The sequence below is a fragment of the Homo sapiens genome, chromosome 5, assembly GCF_000001405.40.
Source record: "Homo sapiens chromosome 5, GRCh38.p14 Primary Assembly".
In the NCBI taxonomy this organism is placed as follows: domain Eukaryota; kingdom Metazoa; phylum Chordata; class Mammalia; order Primates; family Hominidae; genus Homo; species Homo sapiens.
Window position 1 is genome coordinate 3,294,223 of NC_000005.10, and position 18,329 is coordinate 3,312,551.

At 46.5% G+C, this 18,329-nt stretch overlaps 3 annotated features.

The window, feature by feature from the left end:
• Positions 6,817-7,318: an enhancer, noted in NCBI's record as "H3K4me1 hESC enhancer chr5:3301153-3301654 (GRCh37/hg19 assembly coordinates)". NCBI's record gives its function as "activates a minimal SCP1, AML or CMV promoter by ChIP-STARR-seq in naive and primed H9 embryonic stem cells {active_cell/tissue: H9 hESC(naive and primed)}" and the evidence as "EXISTENCE:reporter gene assay evidence [ECO:0000049][PMID:30033119]".
• Positions 7,319-7,818: an enhancer, noted in NCBI's record as "H3K4me1 hESC enhancer chr5:3301655-3302154 (GRCh37/hg19 assembly coordinates)". NCBI's record gives its function as "activates a minimal SCP1, AML or CMV promoter by ChIP-STARR-seq in naive H9 embryonic stem cells {active_cell/tissue: H9 hESC(naive)}" and the evidence as "EXISTENCE:reporter gene assay evidence [ECO:0000049][PMID:30033119]".
• Positions 16,545-17,744: an enhancer, noted in NCBI's record as "MED14-independent group 3 enhancer chr5:3310881-3312080 (GRCh37/hg19 assembly coordinates)". NCBI's record gives its function as "activates an origin of replication core promoter dependent on BRD2, BRD4, P300/CBP and CDK7 cofactors, and independent of MED14, by STARR-seq in HCT116 cells {active_cell/tissue: HCT116}" and the evidence as "EXISTENCE:reporter gene assay evidence [ECO:0000049][PMID:35650434]".

Sequence of the window (18,329 nt, forward strand, 5' to 3'; positions counted from 1 at the left end):
CATATATGTCCATGGTTGGGGGACCCTGCAGGAGCAAGAGTGAGATTATACAAAGGAAAACCCAGGAGATGGTTCCTGCAGAATGAGGATGGTTAGTTACAGAAAAGATGGTTGGTTGAAGATGATAATGTTTGAATTAGTTCCTCCAATAATCAGTTTTGTCTACTGAGTCATTTGTGGTGTCCAGTGATTTAATCAAACACTAATCTAGGTGTTGTTGTGGAGGCGGTTTATAGATGACTTTCAGTAAATCATGCTTGATTATCTGTGTGGGCCTGATCTAATCACATGAAAGAACTTAAGGGCAGAACTGAGGTTTCTGTGAAGAAGACTTTCCACCTGTGGACAGCAGCATCAGCTCCCGCCACAGTGTTTCCAGCCAACTGCCAGCTCTATGGATTTCAGACTTCCCTAGCTATGCTCCACAATGGAATGAATGAGCTGATTCTTTGCAATAAATATCTCTATCTGTCCCTATATCTATCTCTGTATCTATCTCTGTCTCTATCTCAGTATCCTTCTCTGTCTCTGTCTCATCTCTATCATTGCCTCTATCTCTGCAGCTACATCTATGTCTGTGTGTTTCCTCCTGGTTCTGTTCCTTTGCTGAAATCAAAACTCATGCAGATTTTGGCCTGGTGAGTGGTTCTAGAGGGATAAAATCTTAAGCATGAGTTTTCTGAGTTTTCTTAATTGGTTCTGGGGTTTCTAAGATTGGCTCTTTACTCTGGTTTGACTTAAAGGCATGAATGATTCTATTTCTGGTAGTGAAGAGATCATTGATAGTTATGCAATGTTGAAATAGAGATACGCAAACTATCACAACTAAATACTTGTAATCAAGTGCTTCTAAGAGGCAATGTTCTGATTGGTTGTGTATAGGAAACCTTAGAACATTTTAGTCAAACTGAGAGATTTGATGAGGTTGGCTGTTTGCTCTAAACTATGCTGGAAAAAGTGAGGAATGAAAATAATGAGCTCAGCTCTGCATAGGTGACCTGAAAGTTTCTACATCTTCCCTGGAAGAAATCTTTATCTCCTGTAGCTATAGCTGCTGAGGTTTCTAAGAATATAACTCAGAGGCTCAGTGTGAGTTGCTGAAATATAACCCAATTTGAATTCTCAACCAGGAAGGGTGTCTAGTGTCAGAGTGAGAGTGTTAATTAGGAAGAAATGAGGTCATAAAAATGGAATGAGGATATATGAGAAGATTCTGATGAAGCTAGAGACATTCAACCATTGAACCCCTAAATTCTGAGGAATCTTTTTTTTTTTTTTTTGAGACAGAGTCTTGCACTGTCACCCAGGCTGGAGTGCTGTGGTGCAATCTCAGCTCACTGCAAGGTCCACCTCCCAGGTTCATGCCATTCTCCTGCCTCAGCCTCCTAAGTAGCTGGGACTACAGGCGTCCACCACCGTGCCTGGCTAATTTTTTTGTATTTTTAGTAGAGACGGGGTTTCACCGTGTTAGCCAGAATGAGGAATCTTCTTTGCCAGTAAAAACAACTGTTCCACCCTGGTCTGAGGAGATTAACCCTGCTTTCCATGAGGAAGCGTCAATGGTCTTCCCTGAGGTCATTGCTTTGCTTAATCTTCCTTATTCTTTTTAGAGCCTATACACACCACACCTCCTTGCTTATAGACCAATAACTTGACTAAGGTCTCAGCAGGCTCCAAAGTGTAAGGTTAAGGTACAAAATGTGACCACTTCTAAAAATGGCATGATTTTTTCTCATTTATACAGACACCCAGAGGAAAAGACAAGAAGTATGAGGGACAGTGTGACCATAGAGACAGAGATTGGAGTGATCCAGCCCCAAGCCGAGGAACGCCTGCAGCCACCAGGAACTGGGAGAGATGAGGAAAGAGCCTCCTCTAGAGCCTTCTGAAGGAGTGTGAACCTGTCAACACCTTGATTTTGGACTTCTGACTTCCAGGACTGGGACATAACACATGTCTGTTATGTTAAACCTCCCAGTTTGTTGCAGTTTGTAACAGCAGGCCATGGAGGCTAGAACAGTCTCATTCAGCCTCAACAACTCCATCATACAGGCATATTTAGGCACCTTGGTCCTACTGTCTGGGGACATTCAGTCAGCCCACTGTAAGTTTCTGACCAGTGATTTGGTCCTAGTCTGAACATTTGTGTTGCAGGAAACTGTTCCAGGGCTCAGGAGACCTGCATTCTCAGTTTGCCACTTAGGTAGTCTTCTGGTCATAAACAAGACATTCAGCTTCTCTCATCTACAAAATAAAGGGAAAGATACTTATGCCCCAAAGGAGCTAAACGTGCACCTTTGAAGCACCTGGCTCGATGCTGGGTCTGGAGAATATGTTTGGCCACTGCTCTCCACTCTGCAGAGCCCCCTGAGGTCCTTGCTACAGCCAACGTCACGTGGTCTTATCATGGGTCTGACACCACTCCCCTATTGCCTTTACCTACTAAACTCACTTTTATTTTTAACTATGCCCTGGCTTAGATAATTAAATTTCTGTATTCAATTCGGGGAAAGAAATGTTTATAAAAACTCTTTAAAAAGGGCAAAGCTTCACGAGGGCTGATGGTCCCTATTTGGATGACTGTGCTACACCCACCTCACCTGTTGTTTTGACTTAAGGCTTAATGCCAGAACAATTTGAATTCTAATTTCAGTTTAATAGCATATTAAGAATATAGATACGTATTAAGAATATAGATAGCGTATTAAGAATATAGATGTATTAAGAATATAGCGTATTAAGAAATATAGAATATTTCACCTGTTTAAGCTTCAGTGTCTACACATATAAACTGGGAGTATTAATTGTGCATACTTTCTAAGGTTAGTGTGGTTATGAAATCACACACGTCAAACACTGAACACACCACAGCACTATCGGTGTTAGCTACTGTTGTCCCTATTGGAAAGTAGGGGATTTCTAAAAATTCAGGCAACTTCGTTTCACTCTTATAGTATAAAAATTGTTCTCCTTGAATGATGCAAACTTACATTTTTATACTGTCATATTCTTTCATTGAGGCTTTTCTCATTATTCCTTTATTCTCTTTGATAACTTTTCAGAAATTGTGTTAAAATATGTAACACTCAAGTGCACAGTTCTATGGCATTACATACATTCACATTATCATGCAACCATTACCACCATTTATTTCATCCCAAACTAAAACTCTGTCTCCATTAAATACTAACTCCCTATCCTTTCCTTCTCCACAGCCCCTGGTAACCTCTAATCCTCATTCTCTATGAATGTTCCTACTCTAGATATTTCATATAAATGGAATTATATGATATTTGTGCTTTTCTTTCTGGCTTATATCATTTAGTAATGTCTTCAAGGTTTATACAGGTTGTAACATGTGCCCCATTTCCTTCCTTTTTGAGGCTGAGTAATATCCCATTGTATGGACAGACCATGTTTTGTTTATTTCTTCATCTGATGATGGACTCTTCGGTTGTATCCATCTTTTGGCTATTGCAAATAATGCTGCTAATACCACTGGTGTACAAATATCTCTTTGAGACCTGCCTCTTAATGCTTTTGGGTATTTACTCAGAAGTGAAATTGCTTGATCACATCGTAATCCTATGTTTAAGTTTTTGAGGAATTACCATATCATTTTCTCTCTTTGATAGTTTTTCTTATTTTTATAATTTTTTTGATTATTCAAAAACTTGCAGTTCTTGGGGTCACTTTTTGGCTGGTTTTTGCTTCGCATGCTATTTTTTCCCAGTTTTGTTTCCCTTTGGCTTGTTTTGAGTAACAGTATGTGTTCAGCCCAGTGCACGTCCCCACAGAGGAGCAAGACATGAGCTTCTCTGAGGTCTTGCAGCTGGCTCAGCTCTGGATACACAAGTTCACGGGGAATAAAAGTGCTGCCCCACATAGTTTTGTGGGACAGGCTTGGGGTTTACTTAGTTTTAAGAGACTTTTCTTTAAACAATTTCTAGGTAAATATCATGCCACCTTGGTTTTTTTTGTTTTTGTTTTTGTTTGTTTTGTTTTTGTTTTTTCTGAAGCAGTGGGTCTATTTTCTCTTGCGGCAACACTTGATGAGTTATGCATTAATGTGGGAGTTTCAGTATCAGATCCTTGTCTTACTTGGGACCGAGGCTAAAGCACCTTGATTTGTGAAAGCCCAGCCTCTGATTTGTGATATCTGTGCCAGATAACCTGGCCACTGCAGTGGAAGTTCATACATTTAGCCTAAACTCAATTTTTACATTTCCTTTTTATTTTAAATTCCCTTCCTAGTAAAGATGTTTCCTTTGAGCTCAGAGATTTATGTGTATGTTAAGCTTTATATTTTGAAAGAATTGTAAACTCAAAGGAAGTCACAAAATAATAGAGAGATGTCCTGTCTACCTGGCTTTCTCCAAATGTATTTTTAGCTATGAATTTTTAGTTTTGAAAATTCTTGTATTTCTATTTTTTAATGGCATAAACAAATTAGAAGTTTATTTTTCTTTCAGGTAAGGTCCAGAAGTGAGCAGTTGAAATGGTGTGGCACTTCTATTCCACTAGGTCTTCAGGAACCTACACTTCTGTTTGCTCACAATGATCCTTGTGGTGCAAGATAGTGCCTAGAGCTCCAGCCATCACAACTGTATTCCAGGAATCACCTATGAATTTTCAACAATTATATTTTGTTAACTGTTTCTGTGCATTTGGAGCAGGAGAATCAGGTATATTTACTCAGTCTTCTCTGTTGCCGAAATCTGAATCCCCCTTTCAAATTCTCCCCAGAAGCTTTCTGATCATGACTTGTTATGTAGGTTTTCATCCTTTAGTGTGTCACTCTGGGGTGTGTGTGTGAGCGCACCTGCACATGTGTGTTCCTACATGTCCAGGTTCTCCCAGGGCAACACTGGCATTTCCTACATTTCTGTGGCCTGGTGTGATGGCGAGGCTCTCGTGCCTGCTTGCTGATGGAAGCATGGAAGAAGAGGGGCTCTCACAGATAGCTGAGCCCAGCACAGTGCAGGCAGCATCAACAGGGCTCCTAAATCCAGCCCAGCAATTCTAGCTTTCAAGTGAACACAATAAGGTAATTTTGAGTATTTGGTTTACAAGAAGGTGGGCAGGGAAGTTAAATATAAGGAATGGAAAAGGGTCTGACACTTCTTTTTTTGAAAAAGAGCAAGCCCTCATTTTTGGGGGTAGTATACAAATAGATAGCTATGACTCACTACACAGCTTGCATTCTTTAAAAAACCTATAGTCTTTAGGTGAGTATCTAGAAAACTTGACATTCTCATGTCATTCTAACCTTGATCACGTGTGAAAACCTAACTTGCATTGGAGATGAAACCCCCACGCATGGTCCAAGGTAACATCCTGAGACGGCTCCTCCAGGAGCTGGCCTCCTTTTTGAAGGGCCAGAGCAGGCTCTTCCCCCACAAACAACGCTCCCATGGGCCCTGCATGGGCTCCACTCAAAAGTGGCCCAGCTCTTCCTAGGGAGACCTCTCCAGACGGCTGTGGGGAGGCACTCCTCCTGGGGTTTCTGAGCTGGGCTGCAGGGATGGTGTAATGCACAGGGTTTCTTGGAGAAGGGCGCCCTGGAGATGCTGAGATACCTGTAGCACATAGGTATGCGTCAAACACTCTATTTGTTGGTTGTTTTTTCCATATGATGACTCTGAACTACTTCTGACACAGTGAAATGAAACCAAACCAAATCAAATCCAAACCAATCCAATCCAAAGAACTTGCTTAACCTCAGGCTTAGCTTGTGATCTTTTAGTTGGAAAGAAATCACAGTTCTCACAAGTGTAGTACCAACCACTTGCCTAAAAAGTTACTGCGGTGCTTAGTTAAGATTATCTTTATCTGGTGTATACCACCTTTTGGGTTATAGATAGATAGATAGATAGTTTCATTGTGCCACAACCTGGCATTTTCATGTTTCTTTGACCAAGTACAGAATTTGCTTGACTCTAACCTGGAGAGTTCCTTAGGTGATGACCTTTCATGGAAGTTCTATGACAGTAAATAAACTATTAACTGAAGGAAAATGTTATAATTAATATGTCTCTTTGCTGCATCGTATATGGATTAAGTGATAAAAACACTTAAGTAGTCGACCTTCAGAGCCATATATTTGAGAACACTCAAATCATTAACTATTATATTTTCCTACAAAATTTTTTTATAAATCTAGTTTTAAATTATGTTATAAAAATAGGAAACTCGGCATATATATATATATATATATATATATATATATATATATATATGTTATATAGTTTCAGGGATTTTGTCAGTGTTGAAAGCACCGATGTTCATCTTCATATTTATATACATGACTTAAATTTTGTCTCAAGTAATTTTGAAATTTTAAATAAAACTGCCATGATTTCTCAAAAATAAATAAATAAATAAATAAATAAAACCTGTGCTTTTTACATGGTGAACTTCCAAGCTTTGTCTGTAGAGCACTGCTGAAAAAAAAAAAAAAAAGATCCAGAGGGGGAAAATGGGTACCAGGGCTGAGTGCAGGCAGGCACACACCCCAGGGTACGGGGCTGCTGCTGTGCACATTAGCAGGTGTGGTCCTCAACAAAAACAGAGACCCAGTGACAACGATCCTCCGCCCCGGTGCACTGGCAAAGGAAGCCACGGTTTCCCCGTTTCACATTAACTGGGACCCGTTATCGGGGTGTGACCTCTGCCAGAAGCAGAAAGTGCTGATTCCTGCACAACCGGTAAGTGATGAGAAGGTGGAATCTCCCTTCTGCCAGTTACAACGGTGATTGCCATGCAAGGAAGTTAATGTTTTGTGGAATTTACAACCCGATATTAATGGTTTCTCTTCCAGCACTCTCTTCTTACTTTGTTTTCACCCCGATTTTTTTTTTTAACAACAAAGGAAACCGGACAATATGTGAAGCTTCATTAATTCTCTTTAGTTTTGATTTTTCCTTTCTTTTTTTTTCTCCCCTCCTTCTGGAGGTTAAGCGAGAGGCTTGTCATGGGGCCTTTCCATAAACTCTGGTTCATGGGAGGGTGAAAGTTACAGTCTCGCCTAGAAGCGGGCATGGGGTGGAGGGCTGGCTTTCAATTCCCCCAGCCCTTTAACTGCCCGCAGTTTTATGGCCCTCTTGATCACCAATTACACAACCAGGAACAATGGAACTACCACTTAAATGACCAGGCCTCAAATTTGCCTTGATTTGCCAATGTGTGTCATAGCAACACTTTCTTTGCACCTCGGGAGAGCCTAATTGCGGGAATGAAGATGGATCGGGACCTGAGAAAAGCTGCTCCCAGGAACAATATGCTCGGCCCCCTGCCCCCGTAGGCCGGACTGCATTCTCCTGACCCCGGGCTGCCCTGCTAGCACTCCCCCTGACCTGAGGCTGCTGAAAGGAAACTGTCTGTGTCTTCGGGACCTTTCAAGTGCTGCAGAAACTGTGTGGTGGGGTCAGGGGAGGGGGAGCGCTGAGTTCAGGGGCTCTGGAGTCTAGGAAAAATAAATTGTAGGATGGGACTCAGACAAGACGCAAGTCTCAGGATGCCAGGATGTGTCCTGGATCTCTGTTTTTATCTGGTAACTGTGGTGGAAATCTGAGCACCGCAATAAACATACTTGTGCATGTGTCTTTATAGCAGCATGATTTATATTCCTTTGGGTATATACCCAGTAATGGGATGGCTGGGTCAAATGGTATTTCTAGTTCTAGAACCCTGAAAAAAAAAAAAGAAATCTGAGCACCTTCACACTCTTGCCCCACTCAGGGCCCAGGGGAAAGCCTCTGCCTTCTGCCCTAGGCACACTTTAGTCACGCGGGGAAGTAGCTCTCCGTCTGTACATACTTTAAAAAAAAACTGTAAGAAAAATAATGAATGGTAAAAGTTGAGGATAACTGAAACATTTCCAAAGTGAAGAGGCTGATTCTGGCAGAAAATAAATGAGGAAAACATCATTTATCTAATAAGCATCTTTTCTATACAACTTTGTTGTTTATTATTCTTTTGTCCCGTGTTGGGGATCGCCAACTTAAGTATTACATCTGTTTTCTTTTTTCCCACACTGCATAGATGTTGCTTCAGAGCTGATGGTAAGTGCAGTCCACCCCTCACCACCTGCTGGAGTCCACCCCCAGGACAGGAAACTTGGTGTAGAAAAGGAAAACCACCTTAAAGAAACCAACAAGAGCAGAGAAGACAGACTTGCCTAAGGTTGTGGAATTTCTAGAACTGGTCTGTGCTGGTTTCCTAGGCCTGCACAAACATATTACTGTAAACTGGGTGACCTAAAGCAACAGAAATGTACTCTCACAGTTCTGGGGGCCAGACGTCTGAAATGAAGGTGTCTTGGGGCCAAGGTCTCTCTGGAGGCCCCAGGGGAGGACCCTTTCTGGCCTCCTCCAGGTCCCCCTGGGGGATGCCAGCTGTCCTGGGCTGCCTTTGCCTCACAGAAGCATCAGCCTTTTGCTGCCTCTGCTGTCTCTCCCTGTGTGTCCCTGTTGTGTTTCTGTCTTGTCTTCTCTTTGTAGGAACACCAGGCATGGCCTTAGGGACCACCTTAATCCAGTGTGGCCTCAGCTTAACTAATGGCATCTGCAAAGACCCAACTTCCAATGAGGCCACATTCACAAGGTACCAGGGGTTAGGGCTTCAACACATACTTCTGAGAAACACAATCTGACCCACCAGAGGCCTTGACCAAGATGCCGTTTACAGGGCGGGCCCAGAAGATAAGACTTTGACTTCCCTAGAGGGGTCTTCAATCCCAGGAGCCCCAGGCATCCTGTGGCTTCAGGGTCTGCAGTATGAGCTCCTCACCCCACTGAGAGCCCCCTCTATGTCGGAAGACACCCCCAAGCCTCCAGGATGCTTCACAAAGAAGAGCAGGGCCTACAATGTATGTGCAGGGAGAGGCCCTCATCTCCATTCCTTAGCCCCTGGAAGCATCCATTAGGAGAGACCCCGGCTGTGTCTGTGAACCCCATATTCTAAAACACATGATCAAGGCTAAAATGACGACAATCACATGTAAAGACTGTTAACAAGACTTTTTCCTTCTTCATCTAATTTTTCACTGACGGCTTAAATCTCTGTTCTTAACATAAAACCCTCCTTTGAGTGTTAGAGCATGTGTAAAAGGTGCAGCCTTAGTGAGAACAGACCATCCCATAGCATCTTTCCCTTTAAGAAATAAAGGAAAAAAATACCTTGACCAAGTTCAGAGTCAGTTGAGCCCAGTTTCCATCTTAATGAGCACTTTCTGGGATAAACTTGGTCCTTTAGAAATAGAAGCTTTCTGCTGGGCCAGGTGGCTCACGCCTGTAATCCCAGCACTCTAGGAGGCTGAGGTGAGTGGATCACCTGAGGTCAGGAGCTCGAGACCAGCCTGGCTAACATGGGGAAAAACCCTGTCTCTACCAAAAGTACAAAAGTTAGCCGGATGTGGTGGCGGGCCCTGTAATCCCAGCTACTCAGGAGGCTGAGGCGGGAGAATTGCTTCAACCAGGGAGGCGGAGGTTGCAGTGAGCTGAGATCGCGCCACTGCATTCCAGCCTGGGCGACAGAGAGACTGCCTCAAAAAAAAAAAAAAAAAAAGAAGAAGAAATAGGACCTTTCTTCGTATTTTGATGCTAATAAAATCTTGAGTGTTCTTTACTCTGAGCAATATTTTAAACACAGGAAGACATTTTTTAAAAATAACAAAAATGTGATCTCATTTCCCTTCCAACCCCGGGAAAAAAAAGTGCTGATTCCTTCCGGTGCTGTTTGCCAAGGGAAATCTATGCCTTAATTCAGGGCAGCTGTCATCTTTTGCAGTTTCTCCAGGAGAAAGAGTTATTCAGCCTCTCTGGGACTGCACAGCAAGGGAAGAAGGTACAGGAATATTCTGTGGTCTGATTTCTCAGTGACAGGCCACATGGTCTGTTGTGAGTTTCACCAAATAGCATTTTCTTATCTTTGGATCTCCTGTAATGGCCAGGGTGAAAACTCTGGATTCCACAGATTTGTCTAATTCTTACCGCAATTAAGGCAGTTGGGAAGTTTTTTCAGTTTTTATTTCATTTTAGCTCTTTTAAAAAGTCTTTTGCCCCAGATTGTTTTAATTTCTTGGTCTATCGGTGAACTGTTAATATAGTACTTGATACATGAATTGTGGGAAGAGCTTCAGCTATTCTATTGGGAGAAGGAGCCCAGCCGCCCAGGCCCACAGTCTCTGGCCCTGTTACCTTCATCTGGTGTGGGGCTGGCAGGGCCTGGGGTGGCTCTTGGACTGGCCTTCGCTGCCTCTGGTCTTCCTTTACTGAAAGCTGCCTTCACGTGGGGCATGCACGGCATCCTGGCCTTGCTGTCTGCTCTCCTCCAGGTCCAAACGGCAGATCAGAGGGTTGTTGGCACTGTAGAGACGTGCCCCCCACTCCCAGCCCTGCCACCTTCAGGGAGGGCTGGGGGCCTCTGACTATTGGCCCTGCCCCGACACCAAGAGGCCGACACAGGTGGCAGCAAGGGGTGTGAGACGCAGAGGCAGGCACGGTCCCCATAGCTCAGCTCTGGCCCCCAAGCCACCACCTATTGGCTGTGTACTTTAGAAGCCACAGCGGCCCTCCAGGGCCTTCTCCGTTATCTCCCAGCATGCCGAACAGTGCCAAAGGGAGCAGGAAAAAAGGACAAGAGGAAGCTTCCAGTTTCTATAAAAATTGCTTTTTGATAGCCCTGTCTTTTAGGCTCATCTCGGTATCTTGCATCTCTCTGCATATCTGTGAGAACTCGTTGAGAGGGAATGCAGTCTCTGGCCTACTCAGGCATCTACAATGGGGAGCTAATCTAGTCTAGGTTATTTGAAGCTCTGCTAAAATACTTTAAGTCTCTAAAGTTACTAGGGTTGCCTCCCGAGTAATCTAAGTCCCAGAGGTGAATTCTGGCACTTTCTAGGGATTTAGAGTCTTGTTATAAAAGAGAGTCAACCAACAGGGTGATCAATGAACTTTTGAATCTTATCCAATGACGTCCATTTGATGCTTATCATTAACTTCACCGAGAAATACACCAAGCATTGTGGGGGAATACGAATGAATTCTAAAACATGGTATATTGTACAGAATTCACAACTCAACAGTATATTTATGATTTAGATAAGGAGATAAGACTTAAGCAAATAAATCAGTGTGATAAAAAACCAAAATGAGATTAAAACAAACAAACCTGAGCGAGTGGTGTGCCCTGGTCCAGGAGACACAGGTGGAAGAGTCAGGACAAACATCTCGAAGGAGCTGGAGATTAACGGGACGTAGGGGTGATTTCACTAGCGTTGGGGCAGCGGTCCTCGGGCGCTGGGGCGAGCAGGAGTAACCGCACGGGTGTGAGGACAGGCACGGAGCGGCCCAGGCCGCGTTTCCCTGGAGGAGAGTGTGGGTGAGGGGCTGGGGGTGGGCAGGGAACCCGTGCACGCTGCGCCAGAATCCCAGGTTTCTCCTGGAGCCGCTGCAGGCCAGGACAGCTGCCGTGATGGGGGTGCTTTAGAAAGGTTCGTTTGGCGGCGGTGAGCAAGTGGAAGGTCATCTTGACTCTCCTTGGAAAATCGCCGTCCCCAGAGCCGCACTCTGAGCCTGCACGTGTTCCCCAGCGTCTGCCGCCCGTGCTTCTCCTGGTTCAGAAGGACGCGGAGCTCTCCCGCAGTGGCCGAGGCTCCCGCAGCGGGGGAGCGGAGATATTCATTTGCCTATTTCCAGCACTGCTATCTCAGTGGTATCTGCGCTCACAGAACAAGTGCCCATTGGCTGCCTTTTGCCCACCCGTGCAGATAAATCTCCCAGTTTATCTCCGCACACACAGGTGCCAAGTATTCACGAGGCTCCAGACCAGAGGCCCTTCTTAATTGCCCGCCATCAGGGTGCTCCCAGGGAGGCTTCCACAGCAAGGATAGCACCTGCCGCCTGCACATAGAGTCTTCGAATTCTACAGGGGTCGCTCCTGTCTTAGATCTTCTGGGAGCCTCGGAGTTACTGACTGAGGGCTGGGGAGAGACCAACTGGACCCACAGCAGCTCTGGGGGATCCCCAATCGGGGGTTCTGGCAGAGAACGAGCCCGGCCTGCTTCAGTAGCATGGAGCTGGGGGTCCAGAACGCTGCCCACTCGCAGGTCCCGCTCCTCGGCTGTGAACACCACTCCAGTTCATGTGAAGGAACCACACTGGCCAGAGAATAGCCCTTAAAGGTTATTCTCTAAATACTGATGCTTGAAAGCACCACCCCAGGGCTGAGAAAAGCACCTCCCAACAGGAGACGTTTGTTCTCAGTGTGGACTCTGCGGGAGGCTTTGGGGTCCTGTAGAGGACAACGACCCGCTGGGAGCCTTGAGTTTGTGTGGAGGGCAACTATCGTGCAAGACCAATGCTCTTCTCTGACACCGGTCACCTGGCACCTGCAACGCCATGCAGCTCACCACACCCCGCAGTTCCTGGGCATCTGCAGGCTCCTGTGGTTCCAGGGGGCCTGGGGAGCTCAGCTCTGCCATGTCTTTGGGAAGAGGCCTTCTCCCCACAGGGCTGCAGTGACCCTCAGGCCCACACATCTTAGTCACTGGTACATGTGCAGGTTACTAAGTGGGCCCTGGGGGACACTGGCTGTTACAGGAGGTGTCCTGAGTGTCATGGTGAGATCTCCAGCATCCCATGCTTTTCGGGTTGTGTGGAGGGCCACAGGCCCTGGCATCTGACCTGGGGAAGGTGTCCCGGGTCCTGTGCCCTGCACAAGTGGTGTGTCCCTCAGCATGCTTGCTGAGAGGTAACACGTGACACAGGTAGCTACTGCCCACTCCTCCACGGCTTCCAGCAACACACCTAGAGACTGTCTCCTCTTTCCCAGCATTCCCCAACTGACGACATCGTCTTGCAAAATGTTGTTTAACCATCCTATGACTTAACTTTACAATTGGTAAAACCCCAGGCAGTACCCGCCATAGTTCCACCCCAGCACTCACTGCAGAGGCATCTGTTCCGATGTCTGGATCTGTTGTGGAAGTGCCTTGGGATCTTCACCTGCAGTGGTTATTGGTCACAGTCTATGGCACACATCTGCAGGTGGAGGAGGAGGGGGAGAAGGGGTTTGGCCCATGGTGGTGACTGGCACCTCGAATGTCAGGCTTGGCGTAGCCCAGTGGTGCAGCCCACAGGCACTTCAGAGACATGGAGGGTGAGGCAGCGGGAGCTTCGAGATGAGCCCTAAGATTTGCAGCCTCTGATGTCCAGGCCCAAGTACACCCTTCCCCTGGGGTGTGATCAGACCTGTGGATGGCATGGGATTTTGATCCCATGATGATTAGGTGACTTTGTAGGATGCATTCCTCAGCCAAGGCTGCCGTAACAACACAGCCGCACAGCCTGGGGCTTGGACGATGGGGATTTGTCGTCTCACGGTGCTGGAGCTGAAGCCAGAGGTGAGGGGTCAGCATGGCCATTCCCTCCTGAGGCCTCTCTCCTGGGCATGTAGGCAGTGTCTTCTCTCCGTGTCCTCTGTGTCTGTGTCCTGACCTCCTCTTCTGAATCTGCTCCAGGCCTCTGTTCCAGCTCCTGGTAGTCGCTGGCAACTCTTGCTGTTGCTGGGCTGGTGGAAGCATCACCCCAGTCTCTGCCTTCACTGTCATGGGGCGTTCTCCCTGTTTGTATGTCTGTCTCCAAATATGTCCTTTGTATAAGGACAGCAGCCATAGTGGATTAGAACCCACCCCACATGGCCTCAGATAACTGTAATATCCTCTTTAAAGGATCCACCTCCAAATCCACTCACATTCTGAGGTATTGAGGGTTAGGACGTCAGCATATAGATTTTGTGGGGAATATACAATTTAGCCCAGAACATATGACCAAGATGAAGACATTTTGCATTTATAATTAAGGTCACAAATCAGGTGAGCTTTGAATCAATTAAAAGGAAAATTACCTTTGGTGGGCCTGACCTAATCAGGTGAGAACCCTAGAAGAGGGTCTGGGCTCTTCTGCAAAGAGAATGACACTTCTCTGCAGGCCTTGAATAAGCACACAGCCATGCTGTGAGCTGCGTGTGGAAGAGGTGGCTTCTAGAGCTGAGGGCTTTAGTGTCGCAGACACAGGAGGCTGAGTTCCATCAACACCATCCGCGGCTGGGGAGCCTCTTCCTAGCTGAGTTTCCTGGTGGAAATGCAGCTCGGCAGGCACCTTGACTGCAGCCTAGACAAACCTCGGGCAGAAGACCCAGCTAAGGCCTGCCCAGACTGACTCACCAGAGCTGTCAGATCCTAAATGAGTGCTGCACAGCTGGCGGTAATTACTTCTGCAGAAACAGAAAACTACCTGGATGGGGAATGTTCTAGGTCCTCAGTCCAGGGAGAGTTTCTTCTCCCGTCCTTTATGATTGCAGAAATGATCAAAACCTTCACATAATGCAAGCTTTCTGTGTTTGCTTGCATTTACTTATCTAATTTCTAGAAAAAGGAAGGCCTTGATTCTAGGAGAGAAAAGCAGAAGAGAAAATGCAATCCCTAAATGCCCTTGGGTAAACGAAGAATTCCTGGATCCATCAGTTTTTTTGGGGAAGCATTTGTCCTGAGCTTTTGGGGTGGTGGGTGTGGGCAGCTTTGCCTCTGCAGGCCGGGCTGAGCCCGCGGACTCCCTGGAGCCTCCCCTTTCCCCTTTGTCTCTCAAGGGAACTCATTGTTTACTTTTTGCATCGAGGCCCGGGGGTGCATGCGTGTTCTGGTGCTTCTCATCCCATGCTGGTTCACTACTCGATGCTCTGAGGAGTGTGGTGGGTTCGTAGGATTTTATGTAGAAAAAAAGTGATTTTCACCACTCGGATGTGGGCTTTCCTTAAGCTCTCTTTTCTCTCAACCTTACTTTCACAGACTGTCTCAAATTCTCCTCCCATTTGTCAGTCTCTAAACATGATGGCCTGTGTCTGCCCTGCCCACTCCACAGGCTTGAACTATTGAAGCCTGGGAGAGGCTGTAACAGAGACTTGAGTTGTATGTTGCAGTGCCAAGATCTTGGCTCACTGCAGCCTCCACCTCCTGGGTTCAACCGATTCTCCTGCCTCAGCCTCCTGAGTAGCTGGGATTACAGGCGCACGCCACCACACCCAGCTAAGTTTTGTAGTTTTAGTAGAGACGGGGTTTCGCCATGTTGGCCAGGATGGTCTTGATCTCTTGACCTCATGATCCGCGGCCTCCCAAAGCGCTGGGATTACAGGCGTGAGCCACCACACCTGGCCTGAATCTTCTTAAATGCGTCACAGGCCTTGGCTCGAGAACCAACCCTCCTTCTCACCAGATGCTGAACCTCCATCAGCCACTTATGGCTCCGAGCCTCAGCTTCCTCTCTGGTAAAGGGGAGGTTGTACCATTCCTGTCTACAGAGGGATGCACCTGGAATGGGCTGCACACTCTTGATACGCAGGTTGTCGTCATCCTAGACCCAAGGAGGCTTTCTTGTGACTGAACAGAAGAGGGTGGCACCGGCAGCCTGGTGGTTAGCGGTCCTCGTGGCCGCTCCAAAGCCACCCAGTGCAATGAGCTGCCACACCTGCAAAGCTCCATTCAGCTGGGCGTGACTTTTAAATTCCGGGAACTACAAAAGGTGATTCATCTTTCATTTGCATAGAAAGCATCCCTTGAGACATCTCTTATTTTTCTGATGTACAGTGACTTATCTTTATAGAAAATGACGATTTTTACATGGGCACTATCAATCAAGAGGGTCGTCTTGATCCACATTGTTGAAATGGGGCTCATGTTGGGAGAGGCAGGGCCTCCAGATCTCTCTCTGGCCCTGTCCCTTGCCATCCAGCTGAGCCTAAAAAAGGTCTGGCCCATCTCTTACTCAGAACCAGTGGCCTCCTCATACACAGAACCAGTGGGTTGGGAAGGATGATCACATTTACTCCTAAACATACAACTCAAGTATCTGTTATGGCCTTTCCTAAGCTTCAATGGCTCAAGCCTGTAGAGTGGGCAGGACAGACACAGGCCATCATGTTTAGAGTGAACAGAACAGAATGATTTTCTAAATATCATTAAGTCATCATACCAGGCATCATTAGCTCTTATTTGGTCTCTGATTCACTTAAAGACTGACATCAGGTCGAAAGGCCTTTTTGAAAGAAAGTCATTGGGAAATTCTGCTGAAGTGAGCTCAATGTTCTTTTTGGGATTTCAACTATGGAGGCTGCAATCTCTCTGTCCTTAGGTCCTTTAATGCAATCTACCTGCCCCCAAAGACACCCACCCTGCTGGGCCAGCTGACTCTAAACAGGTCCAATCTTTGTAAATGGGGGTAGCAAACTGATTACCAAATCTAAGAAAAATGTTATCCTATTAAGACAACAGGCTGGTGCCTTATTTGCCTGGAACGTTGAGTTAAAATAATAAGAGACACTCATTAAAAGGACAAAATGTGGAATTGTCTACTCCACAAACTCAGCAATGCAAAGTATGCCAAAGCGTGAGTGTCTGCCTGGCTCTTTTGAAATCTGAGCTGGAGTCTTTATTAAATCGCCTGCGGATCGCTGCCTGGCATCACCGTACACGTGTGAGAACACCTCCAGCGCCTGTGCTCACCAGACAGGAATGCTAGGATCACTCGGGGCGATTGTGCATCTCCTAATCCCCACAAAATAAAACAAGGGGATAACTAATCATAACTGGTAGCAATTTGGTGGGTACAGTTCTTCATTTATCATCTTTATGTACATATCAATAACAGTCAACGCCCTTTGGCAAACTTTCTGAGGATACGTTGCCATCAACAACAATAAATCATGTGTGAGCATATGTAGCAATTATCACTGGAAATAAAGGAGTTCAGTCCTAGTGAGGGGGAGAACCCGACACAGATCTTAATTCACAGATCTTAACACACCCGGCCGGGTCGCCGGAGGCCCTTGTGGCTGGGGTGACTCTGCCACTGCGTATGTGGTGGATGGTTAGACAACCAGGCGGGGTGAGCCCTGCGTGCCTGCGTGGAGACAATGGGCCCCGCGAGCGTGTGTGCTGCCAGCTGCTCTGGAACAATGGGGCCCTTTATGTCGCTCGTGCACCTCAGCACGGATTTAGTAATGTTTTGATTTATCAAGGACAAGCGTCAGCAGGCAGGAGAGAGGCTGTTTATACCTAAGAGCTGCTTTTCCGTGAGGTCTGTAGTGAAGGTAATGTGGGCTTGCGGTGGACTGTCCGAGGAGAACCCCTGGGCGCACTTGCATGGAGGCTTTGGCCTTTGCAGCGGGGTTCTGGTGCCTTTGTGGCAGCAATGGAGGGTCCTTTAACAGGGGATGATGACACAATCCCCCACTCAGCACTGGGCTGGGCAATGAGACCATATGTTCTCACCGCCTTTCCCCTCTGAGAGGGTTTCCATGCAGAGCCCTGCCTCGGAGTCTGATTTCCAGGCGACTTCCTGTGCCAGGAGTCAGTTGGAAAGAGTGAGGTCACCTTGAGCAAAAGCAATGCTGGGAATATTTGCCGGACATGAAAAGAACTCAGGTATTTCCCTTACCAACCTCTACCGTCAGGAAGAATGTCAAGAGTTGGAGGTTCTCACTGCTCAGCTGCCCCCACGCCTTCACTCTTTCTCTCTTGCCCCGTTCTCCCCTGACACATTCTGACTCCATACACACAGAGCTTAAAATCTACTTAGTAACAGTTGCTAGGAAATAGCAATTTACCATCTCTCATGGCACACCTCTCTAGCAGTGGAGGACTCGATCTTAAGAAAGTCCTCCTTGTCTCTGACTCCCATGCCCACCCTTTCTCCATCTCACTTTCAGCTTCCGGGGTTCAGAGCTAAACAGGGCTGCATGGGTACAAATGGCCAGGCCCATCCTGTGATACAGGGACAAAATTCCACCTGGGTGAGAACAATTATTTCCCCCTTAAGCAGATCTGCAAACTCTAAGATATATTTTTATTTTCCTTAAAAAACCTCTAAATAATTAAGTGGGTTGGAGGACACATCACACCCAGCCCAGCCCAGCCCCTGACCTTCCTGTTCTTTCTGTGTGAACCCAGGTGGGTGCTGGAAGCCCATGATCTGCATGTCCCTTCTCTGTAAGAATGAGGTGGTTCATACCCCAGGTAGTTTCCTGGATGGGTAGAAAAGCCACGGGGTAAAGCGTGAGGCCATGGCTTGAAGTCTCACTTACTGCCAGCACCAGCCTCCAGACTTAGAGGCGTCAGCCTCTGAGCATCTCCTCAGAAGTTCACTGCCCCCAGAGGATCTCCCCCAGCACATTCCCACAGTTCCCACATTGAGTTAATCCCTGAGAACCATCTAACCACGTGCCCACCATGTGTTGACAGTCAAGCTATGCTCCATCGCTAGATTTCATTACCA